Source organism: Homo sapiens, chromosome 1, assembly GCF_000001405.40.
Source record: "Homo sapiens chromosome 1, GRCh38.p14 Primary Assembly".
In the NCBI taxonomy this organism is placed as follows: domain Eukaryota; kingdom Metazoa; phylum Chordata; class Mammalia; order Primates; family Hominidae; genus Homo; species Homo sapiens.
Window position 1 is genome coordinate 3,729,299 of NC_000001.11, and position 21,441 is coordinate 3,750,739.

At 55.6% G+C, this 21,441-nt stretch overlaps 1 protein-coding gene and 1 pseudogene across 20 annotated transcripts in view, besides 5 other annotated features; one reads left to right on the plus strand and one right to left on the minus strand.

Moving 5' to 3' along the window:
* The window catches only part of TP73 (tumor protein p73), an 83,686-nt gene extending 76,783 nt beyond the window's left edge, over window positions 1-6,903 (plus strand). For 5 of the 15 annotated variants that reach the window (NM_005427.4, XM_047429524.1, XM_047429521.1 and 2 more), the window contains 5 exons: window positions 29-150; window positions 702-850; window positions 1,629-1,767; window positions 2,165-2,258; window positions 3,449-6,903. In NM_005427.4, coding sequence (NP_005418.1) covers window positions 29-150; window positions 702-850; window positions 1,629-1,767; window positions 2,165-2,258; window positions 3,449-3,781 — 837 coding nt within the window. In that variant the 3' untranslated portion in view covers window positions 3,782-6,903. The remainder of the gene's footprint in view (window positions 1-28; window positions 151-701; window positions 851-1,628; window positions 1,768-2,164; window positions 2,259-3,448) is intronic. The other 10 variants (NM_001204184.2, NM_001126241.3, NM_001204185.2 and 7 more) reach the window with 5 other exon arrangements.
* Window positions 4,157-4,945: an enhancer, noted in NCBI's record as "H3K4me1 hESC enhancer chr1:3650019-3650807 (GRCh37/hg19 assembly coordinates)". NCBI's record gives its function as "activates a minimal SCP1, AML or CMV promoter by ChIP-STARR-seq in naive H9 embryonic stem cells {active_cell/tissue: H9 hESC(naive)}" and the evidence as "EXISTENCE:reporter gene assay evidence [ECO:0000049][PMID:30033119]".
* GFOD3P (Gfo/Idh/MocA-like oxidoreductase domain containing 3, pseudogene) lies at window positions 6,686-18,075 on the minus strand (annotated as a pseudogene). 5 transcript variants are annotated; one of them, NR_033712.1, is made up of 6 exons: window positions 16,989-17,473; window positions 16,309-16,883; window positions 13,763-13,892; window positions 13,506-13,613; window positions 10,935-11,089; window positions 6,686-8,556 (listed from the first exon to the last, which is right to left on the minus strand). The product of NR_033712.1 is annotated as a Gfo/Idh/MocA-like oxidoreductase domain containing 3, pseudogene, transcript variant 5 (transcript). The 5 variants fall into 5 exon arrangements; NR_033709.1 differs by having other exon boundaries at window positions 6,686-9,215; window positions 16,309-18,075; NR_033710.1 differs by having other exon boundaries at window positions 6,686-10,073; window positions 10,538-11,089; window positions 16,309-18,075.
* Window positions 13,795-13,964: an enhancer, noted in NCBI's record as "experimental_7436 CRE fragment used in MPRA reporter constructs". NCBI's record gives its function as "activates a minimal promoter by MPRAs in K562 erythroleukemia cells, with activity observed for both the introgressed and non-introgressed 1:3659742 variant alleles {active_cell/tissue: K562}" and the evidence as "EXISTENCE:reporter gene assay evidence [ECO:0000049][PMID:34662402]".
* Window positions 15,824-16,659: an enhancer, noted in NCBI's record as "H3K27ac-H3K4me1 hESC enhancer chr1:3661686-3662521 (GRCh37/hg19 assembly coordinates)". NCBI's record gives its function as "activates a minimal SCP1, AML or CMV promoter by ChIP-STARR-seq in naive H9 embryonic stem cells {active_cell/tissue: H9 hESC(naive)}" and the evidence as "EXISTENCE:reporter gene assay evidence [ECO:0000049][PMID:30033119]".
* Window positions 16,660-17,496: an enhancer, noted in NCBI's record as "H3K27ac-H3K4me1 hESC enhancer chr1:3662522-3663358 (GRCh37/hg19 assembly coordinates)". NCBI's record gives its function as "activates a minimal SCP1, AML or CMV promoter by ChIP-STARR-seq in naive H9 embryonic stem cells {active_cell/tissue: H9 hESC(naive)}" and the evidence as "EXISTENCE:reporter gene assay evidence [ECO:0000049][PMID:30033119]".
* Window positions 17,767-18,256: a silencer, noted in NCBI's record as "silent region_123". NCBI's record gives its function as "represses an Ori minimal core promoter by ATAC-STARR-seq in GM12878 lymphoblastoid cells {active_cell/tissue: GM12878}" and the evidence as "EXISTENCE:reporter gene assay evidence [ECO:0000049][PMID:35858748]".

Below are 21,441 nucleotides of genomic sequence, written 5' to 3' on the forward strand. Positions count from 1 at the left end.
GGGCAGAGATCTGCTCCTCTGTGCTCAGGTGCGAGGCCGGGAGAACTTTGAGATCCTGATGAAGCTGAAAGAGAGCCTGGAGCTGATGGAGTTGGTGCCGCAGCCACTGGTGGACTCCTATCGGCAGCAGCAGCAGCTCCTACAGAGGCCGTGAGTCAGCCCTAGCCCACCATCAGTGTGGGGAAGGAGGACATGGCTTAACCCCCCAGGAGAAGGCCAGGAGGACCAGAAACCCCTCCAGAAGGCATCATCTGCCAGGGACAGGCAGCAGGGTCCAGAGCAGAGCCCACCCCACATCTCCTCCTCCAGGAAGCCTTCTAGCACTTGGGGCTGCCCTGGGACCCTGGGTCATGGCCCTTGCTATGCCTCTGCCACTGAGGGGCCTTGTAAATGTCTGCTGAGTGGAAAGGCCAGGAGGGGTGGCCAGAGTGACCATGACCCACCAAGACCAGAGTCCGATTCCAGTGGCACAGGTCATCCCCCTGCCTCCCGGCCCCGCCATGGCCAGTGTCCTTCTCAGGCGCAGGCCCAGTGGCCGTGCATGGCCATGGTTGGGGACAGGGAGGCTGGGGGAGGATGAAGCCACTCTCTGACATCAGAGGCTCCACCCATTCGCAGCATGGGGGCATCACGGGCATGGGTGGTCGGTGGGCACGAGGCTGCCTTGCTTCCCACCCATGCGAGCCGTTGCTTCTGAGCAGGAGTCACCTACAGCCCCCGTCCTACGGGCCGGTCCTCTCGCCCATGAACAAGGTGCACGGGGGCATGAACAAGCTGCCCTCCGTCAACCAGCTGGTGGGCCAGCCTCCCCCGCACAGTTCGGCAGCTACACCCAACCTGGGGCCCGTGGGTGAGTCCCTTGGGCAGTGCGGGCCCACGGGCAGGGCGGGGAGGCCCACTGGGGGCGCCTAGCTCAGGACACACCACCCAGCTCGGGACCCAGGGCAGGTGTCTCTGTGGCTGGCTCCTTCCAGCGGTTCCACCCTCTGGGCAGGAGGCGCAGCCACGGATAGCCCTCTCTGCCCACTCCTGGCTGTGGGAGGTGGAGGGGGGCGTGGTTAAGAGCGTGGAACCCACATGCATGCACTGCCTCTTGGCAGGCGAGGGAGCTTGGGGAAGGCTCTTAACATTACACAGCCTGTTTCCCCATCAGCAAATGGCCACAGAAGTACCAGGCTCACTCCTTGTGAGGAATAAATGGTGCAAGACCTCATCAGGGGCCCCAGCACAAGCCGGGGGCTCCATTGGATAGAGTTTGGGCCCCCTTCCCCTGGAAGGTCCTCATGTGGGCAGGACCAAGCATGTTCCCAGTGCCGTGAGCAAGCACCCCCAGGTGTTTCCTGAGGCCCTGGGATGTGGCCAGCACTCCAGTGCCAGCTGCGATTGCCCTTACAACCCAGTGCCCCGTACGCACGGTCACCCCCGTCCCTACTAGGCGGGGCGAGGAGACAGGGCCCCAGGTGTTCAGCCCTTGCTCAAGCCTCTAGCTGGCAGGGGTGATGCCCAGCGTCACATCGCCAGGCCTTGGGATGGCTCCCTGGTGTCCAGAGGTGTCTGGAGCCTGGGTGGAGGCTGCACCTGGATGCCCAGCCTGGCTGCCCTGATGGCCCCACCTGCCTCTCACCCAGGCCCCGGGATGCTCAACAACCATGGCCACGCAGTGCCAGCCAACGGCGAGATGAGCAGCAGCCACAGCGCCCAGTCCATGGTCTCGGGGTCCCACTGCACTCCGCCACCCCCCTACCACGCCGACCCCAGCCTCGTCAGGTGCGTGGGCTGCCGAGGGCCTGAGCATGTGCTGTCACCCTGTCTGTTCACCTCTGTCCTTCTGGCCATGTCAGCTGCCCTGCCCCACCCTGTGTGCTCACCACTCGCAACCCTGGATCAGACAGGCGGGCGGGGGCAGTCAGGCCAGGAGCATCTGCAGATGCTGGGGAAATGGTCCACTTAGAGGAAAAGCACAAAAAGCCGGGGTCCTCCACTGACCTGTCCCCAGCTGAGCACGTCCCCTCCCTGAGGGATGCCGTGGCCACCTGTGGGCTGGAGCCACCCTTCGGAGACAGCGGCAGTCTCCGCCCCAGCCAGGCCACTCTCAGAGATGGGGGCTCGCGCAGCCCTGTGCTCGGAAGCTAATGCTGCTTCCTTTCTCAAATTCTCTCTGCAGTTTTTTAACAGGATTGGGGTGTCCAAACTGCATCGAGTATTTCACCTCCCAAGGGTTACAGAGCATTTACCACCTGCAGAACCTGACCATTGAGGTAACGCCCGGGTGGACCCCGCTCTGCAGAGGCAGTAGCTGGAGGGGCCCCTGTCCGGAGGGCAAAGAGCCTTCTCTTCCTTGCTCTCGTGGCTGGGAAACTTGGAAACCCTTTCCCACGGGCAAGCAGATGCGATGATTTGACTCTTGAGAGCTTAGGCAGATGCAGCCAGGCACGTGGCTGGTGGCGCGGGACACAGGCCCAGGCCTCCGGATGCTGAACTGGTCATTTGAGCCTTTTTGGACTCCCAGCAGCCAGTGTGCCTTTGATTTTAGGGGATGGGCTGTTTCCAAGGCACAAAGAACAGAAGAATGTAAGGCCCCGAGGGAGTCAGTCCAGTTCAGTGCCATTTACAGAGAGGTCAGCGCCATTTACACAGACAGGAAAGGGGACCTAGGGAAGGCAAGCACCTGGCCCGAGGCCACACAGCTCTTGGCACCCATGGCAGCTGACTGCAGGCACCATGATTAAACAGCCACGGCTTGTCTTTGGGTTAGAGACTAGTGGAGTACAAAGCCTGCTGGTAGCCTAGGACGGTGTGAACCACAGGGCACCGTCAGTCAAGGAAGAGCAAGCCCTCTGGTGGGAACCTGCCCCCCAGCCAGTGCCGCGGCCCAGGTCCAAGGCCCGTCCCAGACCATCCCCAGCCTGGGGCTGCAGACAGAGATGAGGGTCAGTGCGAGCTAGGGCCAGCTGCTCAGCCTAACTGTCCCTCGTGCAGAGAGTGGCCGCGTCTGTGTCCACTAACCGCCCTCCCCGCAACCTGTCCCCAGTGACCCACGCTGAGCCAGCTCCAGGTCACGTTAACCCTTGCCTCCCCTGAGTGATGTGTGTGCTTGGTGTGGTGCCCAGAGGGTGTTGGGAGCTCAGGGATGAGCTGGGGGTCCACTCCAGGGGGCAGGGACATGGAGACCAAGGAGGGCCCTGCCCTGAGGCTGGGAGGCAGTTCCTCCCCCAGGGCCAGGTAGATGCTCAGGGGGCTCCATGTCTAACACTCCCAGGTCAGGGCCCAGGCCCCGCACAGGCCAGGAGTGACTCTGGTGGGCTCTCCCCCTCCCCCGTCTCCTGCCTACTCTGGTTGGGGGTGTAGGGGCCAGGGTGTGGTGTGGCCAGACCTCCAGGCCCAGGGCGACCCCCCCTGCTCTCCCTGCTCCACTGCCCCCTGCCCCTAATGCGCCGGCCTCTCGCAGGACCTGGGGGCCCTGAAGATCCCCGAGCAGTACCGCATGACCATCTGGCGGGGCCTGCAGGACCTGAAGCAGGGCCACGACTACAGCACCGCGCAGCAGCTGCTCCGCTCTAGCAACGCGGCCACCATCTCCATCGGCGGCTCAGGGGAACTGCAGCGCCAGCGGGTCATGGAGGCCGTGCACTTCCGCGTGCGCCACACCATCACCATCCCCAACCGCGGCGGCCCAGGCGGCGGCCCTGACGAGTGGGCGGACTTCGGCTTCGACCTGCCCGACTGCAAGGCCCGCAAGCAGCCCATCAAGGAGGAGTTCACGGAGGCCGAGATCCACTGAGGGCCTCGCCTGGCTGCAGCCTGCGCCACCGCCCAGAGACCCAAGCTGCCTCCCCTCTCCTTCCTGTGTGTCCAAAACTGCCTCAGGAGGCAGGACCTTCGGGCTGTGCCCGGGGAAAGGCAAGGTCCGGCCCATCCCCAGGCACCTCACAGGCCCCAGGAAAGGCCCAGCCACCGAAGCCGCCTGTGGACAGCCTGAGTCACCTGCAGAACCTTCTGGAGCTGCCCTAGTGCTGGGCTTGTGGGGCGGGGGCTGGCCCACTCTCAGCCCTGCCACTGCCCCGGCGTGCTCCATGGCAGGCGTGGGTGGGGACCGCAGCGTCGGCTCCGACTTCCAGGCTTCATCCTAGAGACTGTCATCTCCCAACCAGGCGAGGTCCTTCCAAAGGAAAGGATCCTCTTTGCTGATGGACTGCCAAAAAGTATTTTGCGACATCTTTTGGTTCTGGATAGTAGTGAGCAGCCAAGTGACTGTGTCTGAAACACCAGTGTATTTTCAGGGAATGTCCCTAACTGCGTCTTGCCCGCGCCGGGGGCTGGGGACTCTCTCTGCTGGACTTGGGACTGGCCTCTGCCCCCAGCACGCTGTATTCTGCAGGACCGCCTCCTTCCTGCCCCTAACAACAACCACAGTGTTGCTGAAATTGGAGAAAACTGGGGAGGGCGCAACCCCCCCCAGGCGCGGGGAAGCATGTGGTACCGCCTCAGCCAGTGCCCCTCAGCCTGGCCACAGTCGCCTCTCCTCGGGGACCCCTCAGCAGAAAGGGACAGCCTGTCCTTAGAGGACTGGAAATTGTCAATATTTGATAAAATGATACCCTTTTCTACATGGTGGGTCAGCTTTTTTTTTTTTTTTTTTAACTTTCTTTCTCAGCATTCTCTTTGGAGTTCAACCTAGCGCCCATGAGCCAGGCTGAGGAAGCTGAGTGAGAAGCCAGGTGGGCGGGACTTGTTCCCAGGAAGGCCGGGTGGGGAGGAAGCCTAGAGGGAACCCCAGGAAGGGCAAATCCAGGCAAATCTGCAGGAATGCTCTGCCATGGGAGCAGCTCCTCCCTTGCCACGGCCACCTTCTCTAGCACTGCAAGGTCCACAGGGCATTGCTTTCCTTTCTAGGCGGTGGCAGTCAGGGAACAGACTGAGGTAGGTGTAGGGGGGTCTAGGCCTTCGTGGAGCACCCCAGGGAGTTAGTAGGCCCCGGGGAGACAGAGTCTGCACAGGCCCTTTCTGGGGCCACCTCCATCCACGAGGAGCAGCCTGAGCCTTGGTGGCCGAACCTTGACCGTCCCGGAGCACAGCTTCAGGGCAGGGAACCGGAGCCCCTGGGGGGCCTCACGGGTGTGACGAGGCCCTTCATTGCAGGCAGGTGGGCCAATGGGAGCCCTCACCCACGCAAGCCGAGACACCACCCAGAGTGCAGGCTGCCTGGCCCCTTCTGGCACGGCCAGCTCCACACCCCCTGCCTAGGGTATGTGTGGTCCTAAGGGCTAGGAGCTTCCCCTACTAACATCTCCCAGAAAAAGCAGTTAAGCCCCTCAGGGCACAGCAAGGTTAGACACAGCCCCCATCCCCAGATCAGGACTCCATCTTGCTAAGTGGCATCACCGTCACCAGCCTCCCCTTATTTAAAAGCAGCGACTGGTGTTGCCGCAGGTACCTGGTCTACGAAGACGCAGGCATCCCTCTCCCACCGTCCACCTCCCCGGGGGCCGCTGACAGCACAGTCGCCTGGGTGCACGCTTGTGGGGGCAGCAGGAACGGGGCTGTCGGCTCTCAGGGGATCTGGCTGCAGCCAGGGCGAGGGCCTGGCCCTTCCTTCCAGCTCCTTCCGGCTCCTTCCAGCTGAAGGGCAGGAAGCTCTGGCCGCTTAGCTTCTAGGGTTCCATCTCCCTAGAAAGGTGCCCACGCCCAGGGCATCAGTCAGTAGCGGCAGCAGCAGCAGACTCGGGGCTTTCCCAGGGTGGCGCAGCCACCCCAGCTGCATGTCACCTCAGCTCTCCATCTTATTGCCATTTTGTAGATGAGGAAGCTGAGACCAGAAAGGCTAAGACCCATGCCCCAGGCACCACACCCATCTCTTGGGGGCTGGGCACCTGCTACCCGAGGCCACCTCCTGAAGCCCCCACTCTTCCCCCATGTTCCACTTCAGGAGCCGCGGGGGCCCATCCTGACACCCGGGGTTCCTCAGCCCAGCGCAGATGTGCTTCAGTTCCAGAGGGCTTGTTGATTTGTTTCTTAGGTACGTTACCTGTCCACCCTGAGTCCAGTGAGGCTGTCCCAAGAGCCCCTGTAGTGTGCTCCTGGGAAGGGCTGGGGGGGCTGGGGGGGCTGGGAGAGGCCCAGGGGCAGCTGTCACTGGAACCCCAGCCAGATGTCCAAGGAAGCCGGCCAGAACACGGAGCAGCCAGATGGCCCCAGCTGCACCTGTCTAGGGAGCCCATGCAGCCTCCTTGCACTGGAGAAGCAGCTGTGAAAGTAGACAGAGTTGAGACTTCGCCGTGGTCAGGAGAAAATGCAAATTCCCAGGAACAAGAATCCTTTAAGTGATATGTTTTTATAAAACTAAACAAATCAACAAATAAATCTTGAAGGCGGATGGTTTTCCCAGCAGTGCAGGGGTTGGAGGGAGGCTGCTGGCACTCCTGGGGCCAAGGGGGACAGGCAGTGGTCCTGAGTCTGCTCAGAGAGGCAAGGCAGAAGGAGCTCGCCAGGCAGGTCAGCTCACATCTGTCCAAGTCGCTCTGGTCAGAAACAGCGACTCTCCCCCATTCCCCCAGCGTTCCCACCAGGCCTGGGCTGCTGGGAAGCCCTTGCTGTACCCAGGAGCCCGACCCGCAGTATCCTGGCACAGAGCCACTTGTCACTCAGAACAGTCAGTGTCTCCAACGCACAAACATCCACTCCTCTGTTACCAGTTAAAGCACTTTAATGCTTTAAGGTGAAAACGAAATCCCATCCGTGTTTTTCGTGTAAGATCGTGCTTCTCCGAGCAGTATTAATGGACGCCCTCCAATGACATAACAACTGTTTTTGGTAATGTAATCTTGGGAAAATGTGTTATTTTTTTAGCTGTGTTTCAGTGGGGATTTTTGTTTTTGTAACATAATAAAGTGTATGTTCCAATGACCGGTTCTCATGACTCAACCTAAATCTCCAAAGGGCTCAGACAAACAGGGCGGCTCCTCACAGGCAGGAAGCCCGTGGCCTCTGTGGCCGGCCCTGGCACCCCACTTGAGTTTCTCTGTGTCGTGAGTCTGATGGGTCCCTGGGGTGTCCCTCTGCCCTGTGCCTCGGAGGACCTGCGGGCCAAGCCGAGTAGCCTCATGGGACTGACCGGGCCTCTCAGGCCTCCTGAAGTACAGGCCCATGAGCCCTCATCCAAGCCCTGTGGGGCCCAGGCCTTCTGGACTTTAGCTAGGCCAAGCAGGGTCTCAGGGCGTCACAAACACCGACACAGAACGCACTCCCGTTTCTCAGCAAAACCTAAGAAAACAAAAGGCAGCAGAGAGCCTCATGTTGGCTCAAGCCAGGCTGAGACCAACGGGCTTCATTTCAGTTCTCTTGGTTCTCAGGTTTCTTGGTTTCAGAGTTGTGAACAGGGACTAGGGACTTGTCACAGCAAAAACAAGGCTCTAGAAATCTGTTCAACCTTGAAGGAGGCCTCAGTCTTTTTAGAAATTGGCCTAAAACAAAGATAGAAAGGACCAAGGCAAGAGGGGGAGATGCCGCCAGGAAGCTCCGCCGAGTTCCCCCACAGGTGAGGTGCCATGCCAAGCCCTGGCCCCATCTTCCTGGCTAGCGCTCACGCCGTCACACCAGAGCCCGCCCACCCCTTTCCCTAGGCTCCTACCTGTCCCCACGTCCACCAAGGAGGGCTGGGCGGTGGTGGGCCCACCCCCTCATAGCCGCAGGACTCTGGATCATGAAGGTGTTGAGGCCTCAAACTAGACAGGAAGTGGAGGGATTCTGGATGTTCCCTCGGCAAGAGGGTGCCACATAGAACGTAGAAACGGGGACTCTAAAACGCCCTTTCAGGAATGAACACAGAAATGTGAGTGCTTTCAGCACAAGGGTGAGTTTGAATATCTTTGTTTAAAAGGTTAGTTATTTTTTTTAAGTATAGCGTGAGAAATACAGGCCATTATTTTCAAATATATAAAAACATCTCCAGTAAGTTCCACACAGAATTTTGGAAAGCTAAGCTGGACTCAGAGCAGGTCTGCTGCTCCCCAAGGCACTACCCTTCGAAGGAAGGTTTCCACCCGCCCCCGGCTGCAAAATGGAAAGGAGAAAGCCCGTTTCCAAAAGGTCTCCACGCCCCTTTGGGTGGAAAACAGCCACTGTTCATTCCCGCGTTCACATCCAAAGAGGAAGCCTAGATTCAGGTGACAAGAACAGAATATGGGCTTTTCATACCACACACATATATTTCCTATTTCTCAGGAATGGTGCTGTGTCATTACTATGCACAAAATCGGATTCTTCAAGAAAATTGTTTTTTAGGCCGAGCATGGTGGCTCACGCCTGTAATCCCAGCACTTTGGGAGGCCATGGCAGGTGGATCACGAGGTCAGTAGTTCGAGACCAGCCTGGCCAACATGGTGAAATCCCATCTCTACTAAAAATACAAAAATTAGCCGAGCGTGGTGGCACACGCGTGTAATCCCAGCTACTCAGAAGGCTGAGGCAGAAGAATCGCTTGAACCTGGGAGACGGAGGTTGCAGTGAGCCGAGATCGCACCATTGCACTCCAGCCTGGGTGACAGGGCAAGACTCCATCTCAAAACAAACAAAAAAAAATGTTTTTAAATACTGGTGTAATTACCCCAAAAAAGGCCTAAGGAGGCCTGCAGCCCGCCTCATGCATGCGACATTTAGCCTTAACAGCTTCACCAGCCCTCGGCCCTGTTTGCCACAGAAAAGCTGAAACCGCAGGTTTCTGAGTCAATTTACACCGCCCAATCCCTGACCTGCCCTCTTCCTGAGAGAGCCAACCAGAGGCCTCCAAGGCCCTGCCAAGGGAACTCTGACCGGAAGAGCATCTCTGAGGCCTGCGCACAACACAAAACACCTAAGCAAGCCCAACTTGTGTCCTTGGTCTGAAGTCCCATCCTGAAAAGCCTGGTTAAACCAGAAATGAAACATACATGGTTTCCCAATGCTTCCCCTTCTGAGTCTCCAGTGAGGACAAGATTGCCATGAGGTTTTGTCTCCCTCTCCCAGTAACAGTAACAAGTGAAACAGGCAACTGGATATCAGGCAGGATCTTGGCTCCAGCCTCGAGTTGGTTCACGGAGCTTCTGTCTTCACCACGGAGGCCTCTGCCGATTCGCAGGGCAGGTCCACAGCTGACCGGTTTCACCACGACTGCTCCACGGCCACGGTCACCCGGAAGGCCCTGAGGAACTGCTCTTTGGTGATTTCAGGAGGTTATTTCCCTGCACATTTGCACAGATTCAGGACAAAACCCAACACTGCGGAGCCAGACAGTCTTCCTCTTGTTGGGGCATGTGAAGGGGCCACTGGCCTCTGGGTGGGACACTGATCCTAGAGAGGCCCACCTGCCCCTCTTGGACAAGCCCCACCCAGGTCCAGGAATTCTGCTCAACCTCTCTGGTTCCCAGTCACCCCCAGGACTGACAGAGGGTAGAAAGTGTCCTATCTTCCAGGATACATGGTATCCACTAGATCTCAGGAGTTCAGAAGTAGTTATTTTATAAACTCAGAGTTTAAGAAGATTTCTCAGGACGTGTCAGGCAACATGGTACACGCACAGAACCCCAAAGGAGCATCTCTCAGAATCTCCCTCAAGTACACGCAACGTAAATGATCACTGAGATGGACAATTTCAAATCTGAACCCGGTATCTGGAATGCAATTTTCCACCTGAAATTGGCATATCATCTGCACTGACTGCAGCCTGGAAGGCATCTACCCATTGAGCATCAGGACATCCCAGGTTCCTCCTGAAAACGTCACCCACCTTTAAGGGTTCTGACAAAGTGTCTGAAGAGCTCTCGATAGGAGTCCTGGTAGCGGCTAGCCTGGGTCTGGGAGCGAAGGGACAGGGACATGCCCCGCCCGGTGATGCCCAAGGAATTCTGATTCTCCATCTGCAGCACGCCTTGGGACCCACACACCCAGCTAACGACCTCTATCTAACCTGCGGAATCAACCCGGCTGACGACCTCTATCTAACCCGTACAATCAACCCAGCTGATGACCTCTATCTAACCCATACAATCAACCCAGCTGATGACCTCTATCTAACCCACACAATCAACCCAGCTGATGACCTCTATCTAACCCACACAATCAACCCAGCTGATGACCTCTATCTAACCCACACAATCAACCCAGCTGATGACCTCTATCTAACCCACACAATCAACCCAGCTGATGATCTCTATCTAACCCACACAATCAACCCAGCTGATGACCTCTATCTAACCCGCAGAATCAACCCAGCTGATGACCTCTGTCTAACCCACACAATCAACCCGGCTGACGACCTCTATCTAACCCACATAGTCAACCCAGCTGATGACCTCTATCTAACCTGCAGAATCAACCCAGCTGATGATCTCTATCTAACCCGCACAATCAACCCGGCTGATGACCTCTATCTAACCCGCACAATCAACCCGGCTGATGATCTCTAACCCGCACAATCAACCCAGCTGATGACCTCTATCTAACCTGTAGAATCAACCCGGCTGATGACCTCTATCTAACCCGCACAATCAACCCAGCTGACGACCTCTATCTAACCCACACAATCAACCCAGCTGATGATCTCTATCTAACCCACACAATCAACCCAGCTGATGACCTCTATCTAACCCGCACAATCAACCCGGCTGATGATCTCTATCTAACCCGCACAATCAACCCGGCTGACGACCTCTATCTAACCTGTAGAATCAACCCGGCTGATGATCTCTATCTAACCCGCACAATCAACCTGGCTGATGACCTCTATCTAACCCACACAATCTACCAGGCTGATGATCTCTATCTAACCCACACAATCAACCTGGCTGATGACCTCTGTCTAACCCACACAATCAACCCGGCTGATGACCTCTATCTAACCCGCACAATCAACCCAGCTTTTCACAGTGGACTGGCGAAGGGTGGAAAAGGGCAAGGGTCACCTCCAGTCTCTGGTCGCAGCTGTCTGTGCAGTGCTGGCTGACGTCCTGGTCGCAGCTGTCTGTGCAGTGCTGGCTGATGTCCACGCTAACCACGGCCTCACAGGGAAACTTCATGCTGATCACAACAGCATCTGCATCTTTTAAGGCGGCCATATCTAAGCAGAAGAAAACTTTAGATGATACAAAAGTTGATTTAGGCAAATGAGAAACTGTTTTGTTTGGTTTTGTTTTTGAGAGAATCTTGCTGTCACCCAGGCTGGAGTGCAGTGGCACGATCTTGGCTCACTGCAAACTCTGCCTCCCAGGTTCAAGCAATTCTCCTGCCTCAGCCTCTCAAGTAGCTGGGATTACAGGCGTTCACTATCACACCCGGCTGATTTTTTTTGTATTTTTAGTAGAGACGGGTTTCACCATGTTGGCCAGGCTGGTTTCGAACTCCTGACCTCAAGTGATCCTGCAGCCTGGGCCTCCCAAAGTGCTGGGAATACCACCACACCCGGCCTGAACTCACGGCTTTAACTGAAGCAGTGGGCGGAGGGCATAGCCAAGTAGTGACACAGAAACTGGTCCTTAATAGAAAATTAAATTGTTCCAAAATGGGTCCCTGAGAGGCACGGGGACGCTGCCCAGCAAGCAGTCCAATTCCGTGTTTGCTAAGCTTCTGTAGCGTTGGCGGTCCCGGGCCCAGGCACCTTCTGGACCCTGGGAGTACAGCCATGGGCCTAGCAGAGCCAGTCCCCATGTCCCACCCGGGGAGCGGGCCCCAGACAGGTACTTGTCTGGCCTTCTGAGGAAGAGCGAGAAGTGGACAAGAGGACAGTGGGGTTGCGGGGGGCGGCACCCGTGAGCCTGAGGCAGGAGATTAGGGTCTGGAGGCAGGGAACCTAAGGCTGTTTCACAACTTCCTTGAACTATGTTGAAGGGAAAACCCTAACTTTCCACTCCTAAGTAACAAAAGGACCGGAGGCCTTTGCAAACCCCACTCACGTTTTCTGCCTGGCAGATGGGAAACTGGCTGTCTGCAACAAATCAGACTGATTGTGGGTCAAGTCTTCCTTTGCAACTTTGTAACTTCACTCACTCCAGCCTCTGAATGGTCGCTGTTCACACCAATCAGACTGATTACAGGCTGAGTTTTCATCTGCACAGAAGTATAACTTTGTAACTTCACTCCAGCCTCTGACTGGTTGCTTTTTGCAACCACTTCGTTTACATGAGGTGAGCATGAAGTGGCCAATGGGAAACTTCTAGGGGGTATTTGGGCCCAAGAAGATTCTGTATCCGGCCCTAGAGCTGCTGCTCGGGCCGCTCCCACACTGTGGAGTGTGTTTCATTTTCAATAAATCCCTGCTTTCGTACTTTTGTTGCTTCATCCTTTCTTTGCTTTGCTGGGTGTTTTGTCCAATTCTTTGTTCAAAAGGCCAAGAACCTGGACAATGTGCAGTCAAGACCCTCGACCGGTGACAGGCCCGCGGGGTCTGCGGAGACCATGGCCTCCACCTGTGCTCTGGAGAGCTCAGAGCAGGTGGGCACCTGGTCCAACTGAGGTCTTACAGGGAAGAGATTGCAGGCAGATGGCCACAGCCAGGATGAGGACATGGCTGGGATCGGGGTGGTGGCCAGCGGAGCAGGGTGTGTGGGTGAACTTTGGGCAGACGGGGGAGGCAGTGCCAAAAGGGGGTGCTGACGAGACAGAGTGAAGCAGGCACTGAGAGAAGTCAGCACTGGCACTGGCTGGGCCTGGACTTGCCCCAGTACACAAAGTGTGGTGTGAGGGGTACCACGTCAGTCCCGGCCCAAGCCTCAGGATGTCTCAGTGCTTCTACTTTGGTCCCCTGAGGCCATCAAATGTGTGGCCACGCTGCTGTGGGGACCTGAGGAGGCGTGGGGACGACACGGAAGAGAACCCAGGTGACAGCGGGGCCCGGCCCTGGGACCCTGGTGGGGCTGTTCCAGGCAGGCCGCTGACCAGCTGGCTGTAGTCACGTGAGTGACCACCGGGCAGACCAGAAGAGGGACTCCAGCCAAGCCCAGTCCAGGCTGCAAAATCCTAACTACCCAGTGGCTGTTGTTTCAAGTGTGTGGTGTGTCATAAAGCAACAGATAATCTGTCCTCTTCAGCAGCCCTCAGGACCCACCCTGAGCTTCTGCTGCCAGGCCAGGACCTAGGAACCAGCATCCCCAGCCCCGCCTTCACCTGGTGCTCGCTGATGATCTGCTAATCTGTGTGCATCCCACCCTGGCTGTGACTTCCAGCCGGGACTGTGTTTCTTCACCTTTGCAACCTGAGAAACGACAGGGGCCTGTCACATCGCAGGGGCTGGAGAAATGGTTACTACAACAGTGACTCTCAAAGTTCATCAAATGTGAAACACTTCCTGCATGATGCCTGAGGGATTCAGTGACGCGACCATTTAGTCATCTGTTTTACATGTGCTCCATGTTACTTTATCTGCTCCCCAAAGCTGGGAGTGGGGGAGGAATCCTGAACAGGGGCCCCAGCCTGTGCTACATCTTCAACCAGCCTCGGTGGCCATAGGAGCACCTTGCAACAGTGAGGCCCACTCTTACCTGGGCAGAAGACATGTCCCAGAGAAAACACAGTGTCCGGAGTGGCTTCCCCCAGCAACATGCATACGGCATCCACGTCGTGCACAGCAGCGTTGTAGAAAGTCCCACCTGGACACAAGGGAGGGTGAGCTCTGGCTTCTGGTCTCGAGGGAAGCTACTGGCGAGAAGCATTGGAGGGTTCTGGGTCACAGGGAACCACGTGACATGGACACAGATGCCACAACGCTGTGCATTCCCCCAAAAACGCAGATGCCCACCTGCTCTCTTTAGGGAAGCCGGAGAGGCCGCCGGGAACAGGCAGTGACGGCGGTGATCCAGTGGATCCTCCCCAGGGCGTGGCTGACACAAACTTGCTTGTGCAAGAACTGGAAAACCGGATCAAAGTGCCTAGCAAAGGAGTCAGGAGATGAAGCAGGCAAGCCTATTCCCCGAAGCCCATTCTCCCTGAGACACCTGGGCACAGGTGCAGACATCACCTCAGCCAGCCCAGCCCATAGCTGCTCGGAGAGCATCCCTCACGATTTCAGAAGCTGCCTCCGGCGGGCAGCAAACAACTACTCCAGAGACGCTGCAGGAGTAAAGTGGAATGTTAAGAGCGTGCTTTGAGACCTAGAACATTCCAGAATCCATGCTGCTAACACCACTCTATAAACCATCTCAGGCACGAGAATAACAGAAGAAAAAGGCCTCAACAAAGTAAATTGTGAAAACATTTCCGGTATGACTTACTTCAGAATTTAACTTGCTAATTTTGAGGAACAAAATACAGATCCCAGCCAAGTCACAGAATAGGCTTCTGTGAGTCAAATTCTATTACGATCCTCAGGGACAGATGCAGTGGCTCACGCCTGTAATCCCAGCACTTTGAGATTTGGCTGAGGCAGGAGGATCACTTGAGCCCAGGAGTTCAAGACCAGCCTGGGAAACTTGGCAAAAACCAATCTCTAGAAAAAATACTAAAAAAAAATTAGCCAAGCTTGGTGTCACACACCTGTAGTCCCAGCTACTCAGGAGGCTGAGGTAGGAGGATCACTTGAGCCAAGGAGGTTGAGGCTGCAGTGAGCCATGATCGCGCCACTGCACTCCAGCCTGGGTGACAAAGCAAGACTCTTTCAAAAAAAAAAAAAAGATGCTCCCTTCCTCAGCCTACAGAGGTCAGCCTCAGGTGTGGGCTGGACAGGAGCCCGGGGACTTCCGAGGACTGTGATCTCCAGGCTGGCCACACAGGTGCGTGCAGTTCGTAAAAAACACACCGACTCGGGCACTTTGCTGTGTGTATCATGTATGAACGTGTGCATTCTGTGAATGTGATACCCGAGTGAAAAGTGTGAAAACCTGCCTAAAGCAGATGCCACAGATAACTGAAAACTAAAATTTGCAGGCCGGGCGCAGTGGCTCACATCTGTAGTCCCAGCACTTTGGGAGGCCGAGGCAGGCAGATCACAAGGTCAGGAGATCGAGACCATCCTGGCTAACACAGTGAAACCCTGTCTCTACTAAAAACACAAATTAGCCGGGTGCGGTGGCAGGTGCCTGTAGTCCCAGCTACTCGGGAGGCTGAGGCAGGAGAATGGCGTGAACCCAGCGGTGGAGGTTGCAGTGAGCCAAGATCGCGCCACTGCACTCCAGCCTGGCGACAGAGTGAGACTCCGTCAGGGTAAGACTCCGTCAGAGGAGTGAGACTCCGTCTCAAAAGATAAATAAAGTAAATAAATAAATAAATAAAATTTGCCAACTTTCCAAAAACACACAAAGCATTAACATTCACGAACGTTCTTCTGCAGTGGCAATGGGCTTTGCTGAGACACAACACCATCCGCTAATACGTTCAGAGCCCTCCACATGCGTTAACAACCTGGGGTCAAACTCTCCCCTTGCTACACTAGTAAGAGCATGTCCAAACCTGGACACACCAAAGGTGAGCCAGGCCTGACCTGTGAGCAGCACCGGCCAGCTCTGCGAAACACCAGGCAGTGCCCAGCCCAGGCCTGAACACAGTGGCTGCGCCTGACCCCAAGGCTGGGTGGCTGCCCGCGAGCCCGTTTACCTGCTGTGGCTGTCCACACCCTGTGGACAGCAAGTATAGATGCTGCTCTAGCTGCTGGAGACACCGCTCATGAACAGGGTGGACATGTCACACCCAGCTGCTCGAGTGAAGGGAGGAAGCCAGGACCCCATTGCAAAGGCTGTACATTCAAAATATCCCAAATCCAGCCATACTGCTGCCCTGGTCCGGGCCCATCATGCCCCACTGGCCCCCCAATACCCCTCACTGGTGTCCCTGCGTCCTTCTCCTCCGCCCCCTGAGTGTGAGCTCAAACCAAACCAACCCCTGGCGGCTTTCAAAGCCTCCGGGTGGCCCCCAGGCTCCTTGGGCCTGGGACCTCCTTGCCTAGCCCTCACCCCATTCACTCCGTTCCTGCCAGCAGGGCCACTTGGCTACACCAAGGCCTGGAGAAGACTCAGTGTCCTCTTTGTAGAGTGTGCTCGTCCCCGGATGCCCCCACGGCCATCTCACTCACCCACCTAGGTCCCTGCTCCAATGCCCCCTCCTCAAGTCTTCCCCAGCCATCTCACCTAAAACAGCACTCCCACCAGCCTCCCTCTCCCGACTCAGCGTGAGTTCTCTCCGCAGAGCTTATTGCTACTGATGTGTTGAGATCTACGCATCTGCCTCTGCCCCCAATTCAGCAGCACAAGCATGGGGACTTTGCAGCATTCAGAGCCATTTCTCCAGCCCCCAGGACGGTGCCCGGCACACAGCAGGTGTTCAGTGAACCTCTGCTGACAACTGAAACCGTACCGCTGGTCGTTGAGGACAATGTCTGCATCCTGTTCCCGAACCACTCTGGTGTTGGCCCAAATGCTCAGCTCTGAAGGCTTGCTCCACATCACACAGCTGGTCCTCCACCACGTACAGCAAGCAGCAGCTGTTCTCATCCACCACACTCTGCAGCAGTGCCGGGCTCCCGAAGCCCACCCCAAAGATGCCCAGGCCAAGGTGGCCAGCCACCCCGGCTCCAAAGTCACGAGAGCATCTCGGGCCTCCTCCGGGGAGCACCCTGTGGGAGGCTTCAGAAAAACTCTGGCTGGTCTGCTCTGAGGGCACTGCTGGTATCTTTACTTGGAAAGCAGGAAACACTGAAAGGTGGCCGGTGGAGGCAGATGGTGTTGCATCCTCCCGGGCAGACAAGTCGCTGGTGGTGGTGCTGATGGCAGGAGGGTTGACAGGGAGCAGAGACGTGTGGCCCACAGCGGGAGGAGGTACCGTGCCAATGCTGGGACTGCCTGAGAGAATGAGCTGAGGCTGAGGCTGACGGGGCAAGGGCGGGTGGCACGGGTGTGCAGTAAGGCTGGTGGCAGCGAGATCCGAGGCGGCTGAGCTGGACAAAAGACACATTCACTTAAACAAAGTGGCAGGACTCACAGCACCCAGTCCACAATCATCTCAGAGGATCAACAGTGGGGAGTTACCCTACAGACCAGTATGTATCTGGCTTGTGATAAGGCAGCATTCAGGTGGCCACGCACACTTTAACAAAACTGCGAGACTTCACAGGGTTTACTCCCTAAGTAGGCAAGCCACTAGCAGATCCCGTAAACGTAGTGTCATCAGGCGGCCTGTCCACGTACTTTGGAAACGTTTGCAGGGCAGAGAATCCTAAAATAGCCCGCAGCCCGCTGGGATGACTCCTGAAACACCAGCGTTGGCACTGACATTTACATGAGAATGGGCGTCCGCAGGCCGTGCTGCCTGCCCGAGGACAGGTGTTCCAGGATGCGGTCCCTCCGCACGCGCACGGGCAGCTCGCAGGCCCTGCAGTAAAGGGTCTCCACCACAGACGTGTCCCCAGAGTCACTGTGCTCAATCAGGTGCTTCACCACCAGGTCGGTGAACTCCGCCGCGTAGTCGTGTAAAGCCTTCTTTTTCCCGCCCATTGTCGGGTCCGGGATGGAAACGGAAGCAGCCTCGACCCCCGACCGAGGGACCCGTGGGATCTGCGCTCACCGCCCTGCGAGCAGAGGCGTTCGTGTCGGAGCCCCCACACCTGGGGAGCGGGGAGCTGCGGTCCCTGGTTGTCCCACAGGAGAAGGGGGAGGGAACGGGGCAGGCGGGGAGGATGAGCGCTTCCGCGTGCAGCGGGGGCTGGAGTGGGTCCGTCCGAGCTGGAGTGGTCTCCGAGGGGCGGCGGATGCTCGGAGGGGGCGGATCCCTTAGGGCTGGGGGCCAGGACGATCCCACCCGGAGAAGCCTCGCGGGCGAGAAGAGGGTCCCTTCCTGCGGGGGCAGATGGAGGCGCGGGAGCCTTCCCCGGGAGGTGACCGAGGCCAGTCAGCGGCCCCGGGGACCCAAGGCCGGGGACTCTCGGCGGCCGGTGGACGGGCAGGGCCGGCCCGCCTGGGCAGGCGGCGGGGTGAAGGTGTCCAGGGCCTGAGGCGGCAAAGTGCCGCCGCCGTCAGCCCCGACTGCCACCCACCAGGCACCCGGCCCATCCCCGGCTCCCATCTAGGGATCCACACCCGGGCGCCGCGGCGCCGCGGTTTAAAGCCTGTGAGATCCCGCAACAACCCGGATCCGGAAGCGCGGGGTCGCGGCTGGGCGAGGGCAGGGGTGGGGCCTTCGGTGCAGACCCAGGGCCAAGTCGAGGGAGGCTCCGGGCGCGGGGCGGGGTCTTGGGCGTGGGGGCGGAGCCTGCGCGGGGCGTAGAGATCTGACGGGTCCCAGATGCACCTGCACCCAGGTGCTGACTGCCCCACCTTAGGCGGTTTCTCTGGGCCCGTTATCTCCAAGTGGAGCCGCTCTCCCCACAGGATTTCCCTGATTGGCAAGAGGGTTTTATTTTCTTATTAAGAAAATAAAATTGACTTTGCAATTTACAATTTTTTTTTTACAGTAACCAAAAATCTTAGGCTTGTTAGTGTTTGACTTTCCACTCAGTTTTTGTTGTTTTGTTTTTGGTTTTTGGTTTTTGGTTTTTTTTTGAGACCGAGTCTCCCTCTGTCACCCAGGTTGGAGTGCAGTGGCGTGATCTCGGCTCACTGCAACCTCCGCCTCCCAGATTCAAGCAATTCTCCTGCCTCAGCCCCCCAAGTAGCTGGGACTACAGGCGCGAGTTTTATCAATAAAGGCCCTGAAGGCCCAGGTTGCTTTTCCGTGAGTACAAGAACACAACACCTGTGGGAGGTGTGGGCCCAGGGGAGGGATGCCGAGCTCACACGACCCCTAGGTAGCAAATAGACGCACGTGTGCCTTTCACACTCCACCCTCACTTCACACTGGCCCACCCACTCCTTGTTCTGGGAAATGAGGACGCAGCAGGAGATACCTGTAGCTAACACACACACACCTTGCCCCCCGCGATGGCCAGACTTCCAGGGCTGCCTCGCTTCCCAGATACATTTTCTGGTGCCACTTGTAGGGTCCAGCCCTATGGGGCTTAGCGGGTGTTCTCCCCGTGTGCAGAGATGAGAGATTGTAATAAATAAAGGCACAAGACAAAGAGATAGAAAGCAGCTGGCCCCAGGGACAACTACCATCAAGACGTGGAGACTGGTAGTGGCCCCAAACGGCTGGGCTCGCTGATATTTATTGCATACAAGACAAGGGGGCAGGGTAAGGAGGGTGAATCTTCTAAGTGATTGACAAGGTGAAGCAAGTCATGTGATTACAGGATACATTTTAGGTAGGCAAGGCAGAGAGAGAAGGCAGCATACGTCAGCGTTTTCTTCTCTGCACTTATAAGAAAGATCAAAGACTTTAAGACTTTCACTATTCCTTCTACCGCTATCTACTACGAACTTCAAAGAGGAACCAGGAGTACGGGAGGGGCATGAAAGTGGACAAGGAGCATGAGCATTGAAGCACCACAGGGAGGGGTTAGGCCTCCGGATGACTGTGGGCAGGCCTGGATGATATCCAGCCTTCCATAAGAAGCTGGTGGAGCAGAGTGTTCCCTGACTCCTCCAAGGAAAGGAGATTCCCTTTCATGGTCTGCTAAGTAACGGGTGCCTTCCCAGACGCTGGCGTTACCGCTTGACCAAGGAACCCTAAAGCGGCCCTTATGCGGGTGTGACAGAAGGCTCACCTCTTGCCTTCTATTCACTTCTCACAATGTCCCTTCAGCACCTGACCCTGCACCCGCTGGTTATTACTAGATTATGTTAGTAATGCAACAAAGAGTAATATTAAAAGCTAATGATTAATAATGATTGATAATTGTTCATCATCTCTATATCTAATTTGTATCATGACTATCCTTATTCTAACTATTTTCTTTATTATGCTGAAACAGTTTGTGCCTTCAGTCTCTTGCCTCGGCACCTGGGTAACCCTCCGCCCACAGCCACTGGTCTGCATTTAAGCCAACTCCAAACATACCTTCTAGATCTGGGGGAAATCTAGCCATTTTCATATGAAGTGACAAGACGAGAAGCTTTGATTTGTTTGTATAGATTGAATGTCGGTCCCAAGATAAGCTTTCTATTTAATATTGGCTTCGCTATCGATCAAATTGTCACCATGAGTTTCTGTTAACTGAACCAGAAATTTACTTGAGTGTTTTAATAGACGAGGAGTCTGTTGAACAGCGTTTCAGAGACCAATGTAAAAACAAAGCATAATACATGTGATTTTCAAACATGCTGGACCTCAGGCCAATGTGACAACATTTCCTGTGGTCCAAGTCCCCAAAACAATTAGAGATTCATATGGAAGACTACAAAATAATCAACAAAAGAGAAATTGGCAAGGCAAGAATTCTTTCTCAGTATTTGAGGCTGGTAAAAGTGCTTTATTTCTTATTAAAATACAGTATGTGTCACTTAATAACAGGGATATGTTCTGAGAAGTGCATCATTAGGCAATTTCACCATCCTGCAGACGTCATACCGTGTGCTCACACAAACCTACGTGGTTTACAGCCCAGTCTATGCCTAGGCTATATGCTATACCTGTTGCTGAGGCTGCAAACCCGTGCAGCATGTTCCTGAGTACTGCAGGCAGTTGGAACACAACGTATGTGTGTATCTACACATGTCTAAGCACAGAAAAGCTACAGTGAAAATACACTATTAGATTTTTTTTTTTTTTTTTTTTTTTGAGATGGAGTCTCGCTCTGTCGCCCAGGCTGGAGTGCAGCGGCGCAATCTGGTCTCACTGCAAGCTCCGCCTCTCGGGATCACGCCATTCTCCTGCCCCAGCCTCCCGAGTAGCTGGGACTACAGGTGCCCACCACCACGCCCAGCTAATTTTTGTATTTTTAGTAGAGATGGGGTTTCACCATATTAGCCAGGATGGTCTCAATCTCCTGACCTTGGGATCCACCCACCTCAGCCTCCCAAAGTGCTGGGATTATAGGCATGAGCCACCACACCCGGCCAAAATACAGTATTAGATTCTTAAGAGACTACCATTGTATTGGTCTGTCATTTGGTCTATGATTGACCAAAATTTCATTATTTGGTATATGACTGTAGGTCAAAAATTCAAATATATACTAGGCTTGTTTTGTACTTTAGATGCAAAAAACTGAAGAGATTTTTGGATGATAAATATTTTTTATAAAGTCATATTGGAAAGGATGGGGTCATGAATTTCTGTGGGGAAAAGAAAGAGAGATCAGATTGTAACTGTGTCTATGTAGAAAAGGAAGACATAAGAAACTCCATTTCGATCTGTATGAAGAAAAATTGTTCTGCTTTGAGATGCTGTTAATCTGTAACTTTAGCCGAAACCCTGTGTCACAGAAGCATGTGCTGTATTGAATCAAGGTTTAATGGATTTAGGGCTGTGCAGGGTATGCCTTGTTAACCATCCGTTTGCAGGCAGCATGCCTGGTAAAAGTCACCGCCATCCTCCATTCTCTATTAACCAGGGACACAATACACTGAGGAAAGCTGCAGGGACCTCTGCCCAAGAAAGCCTGTCCAAGGTTTC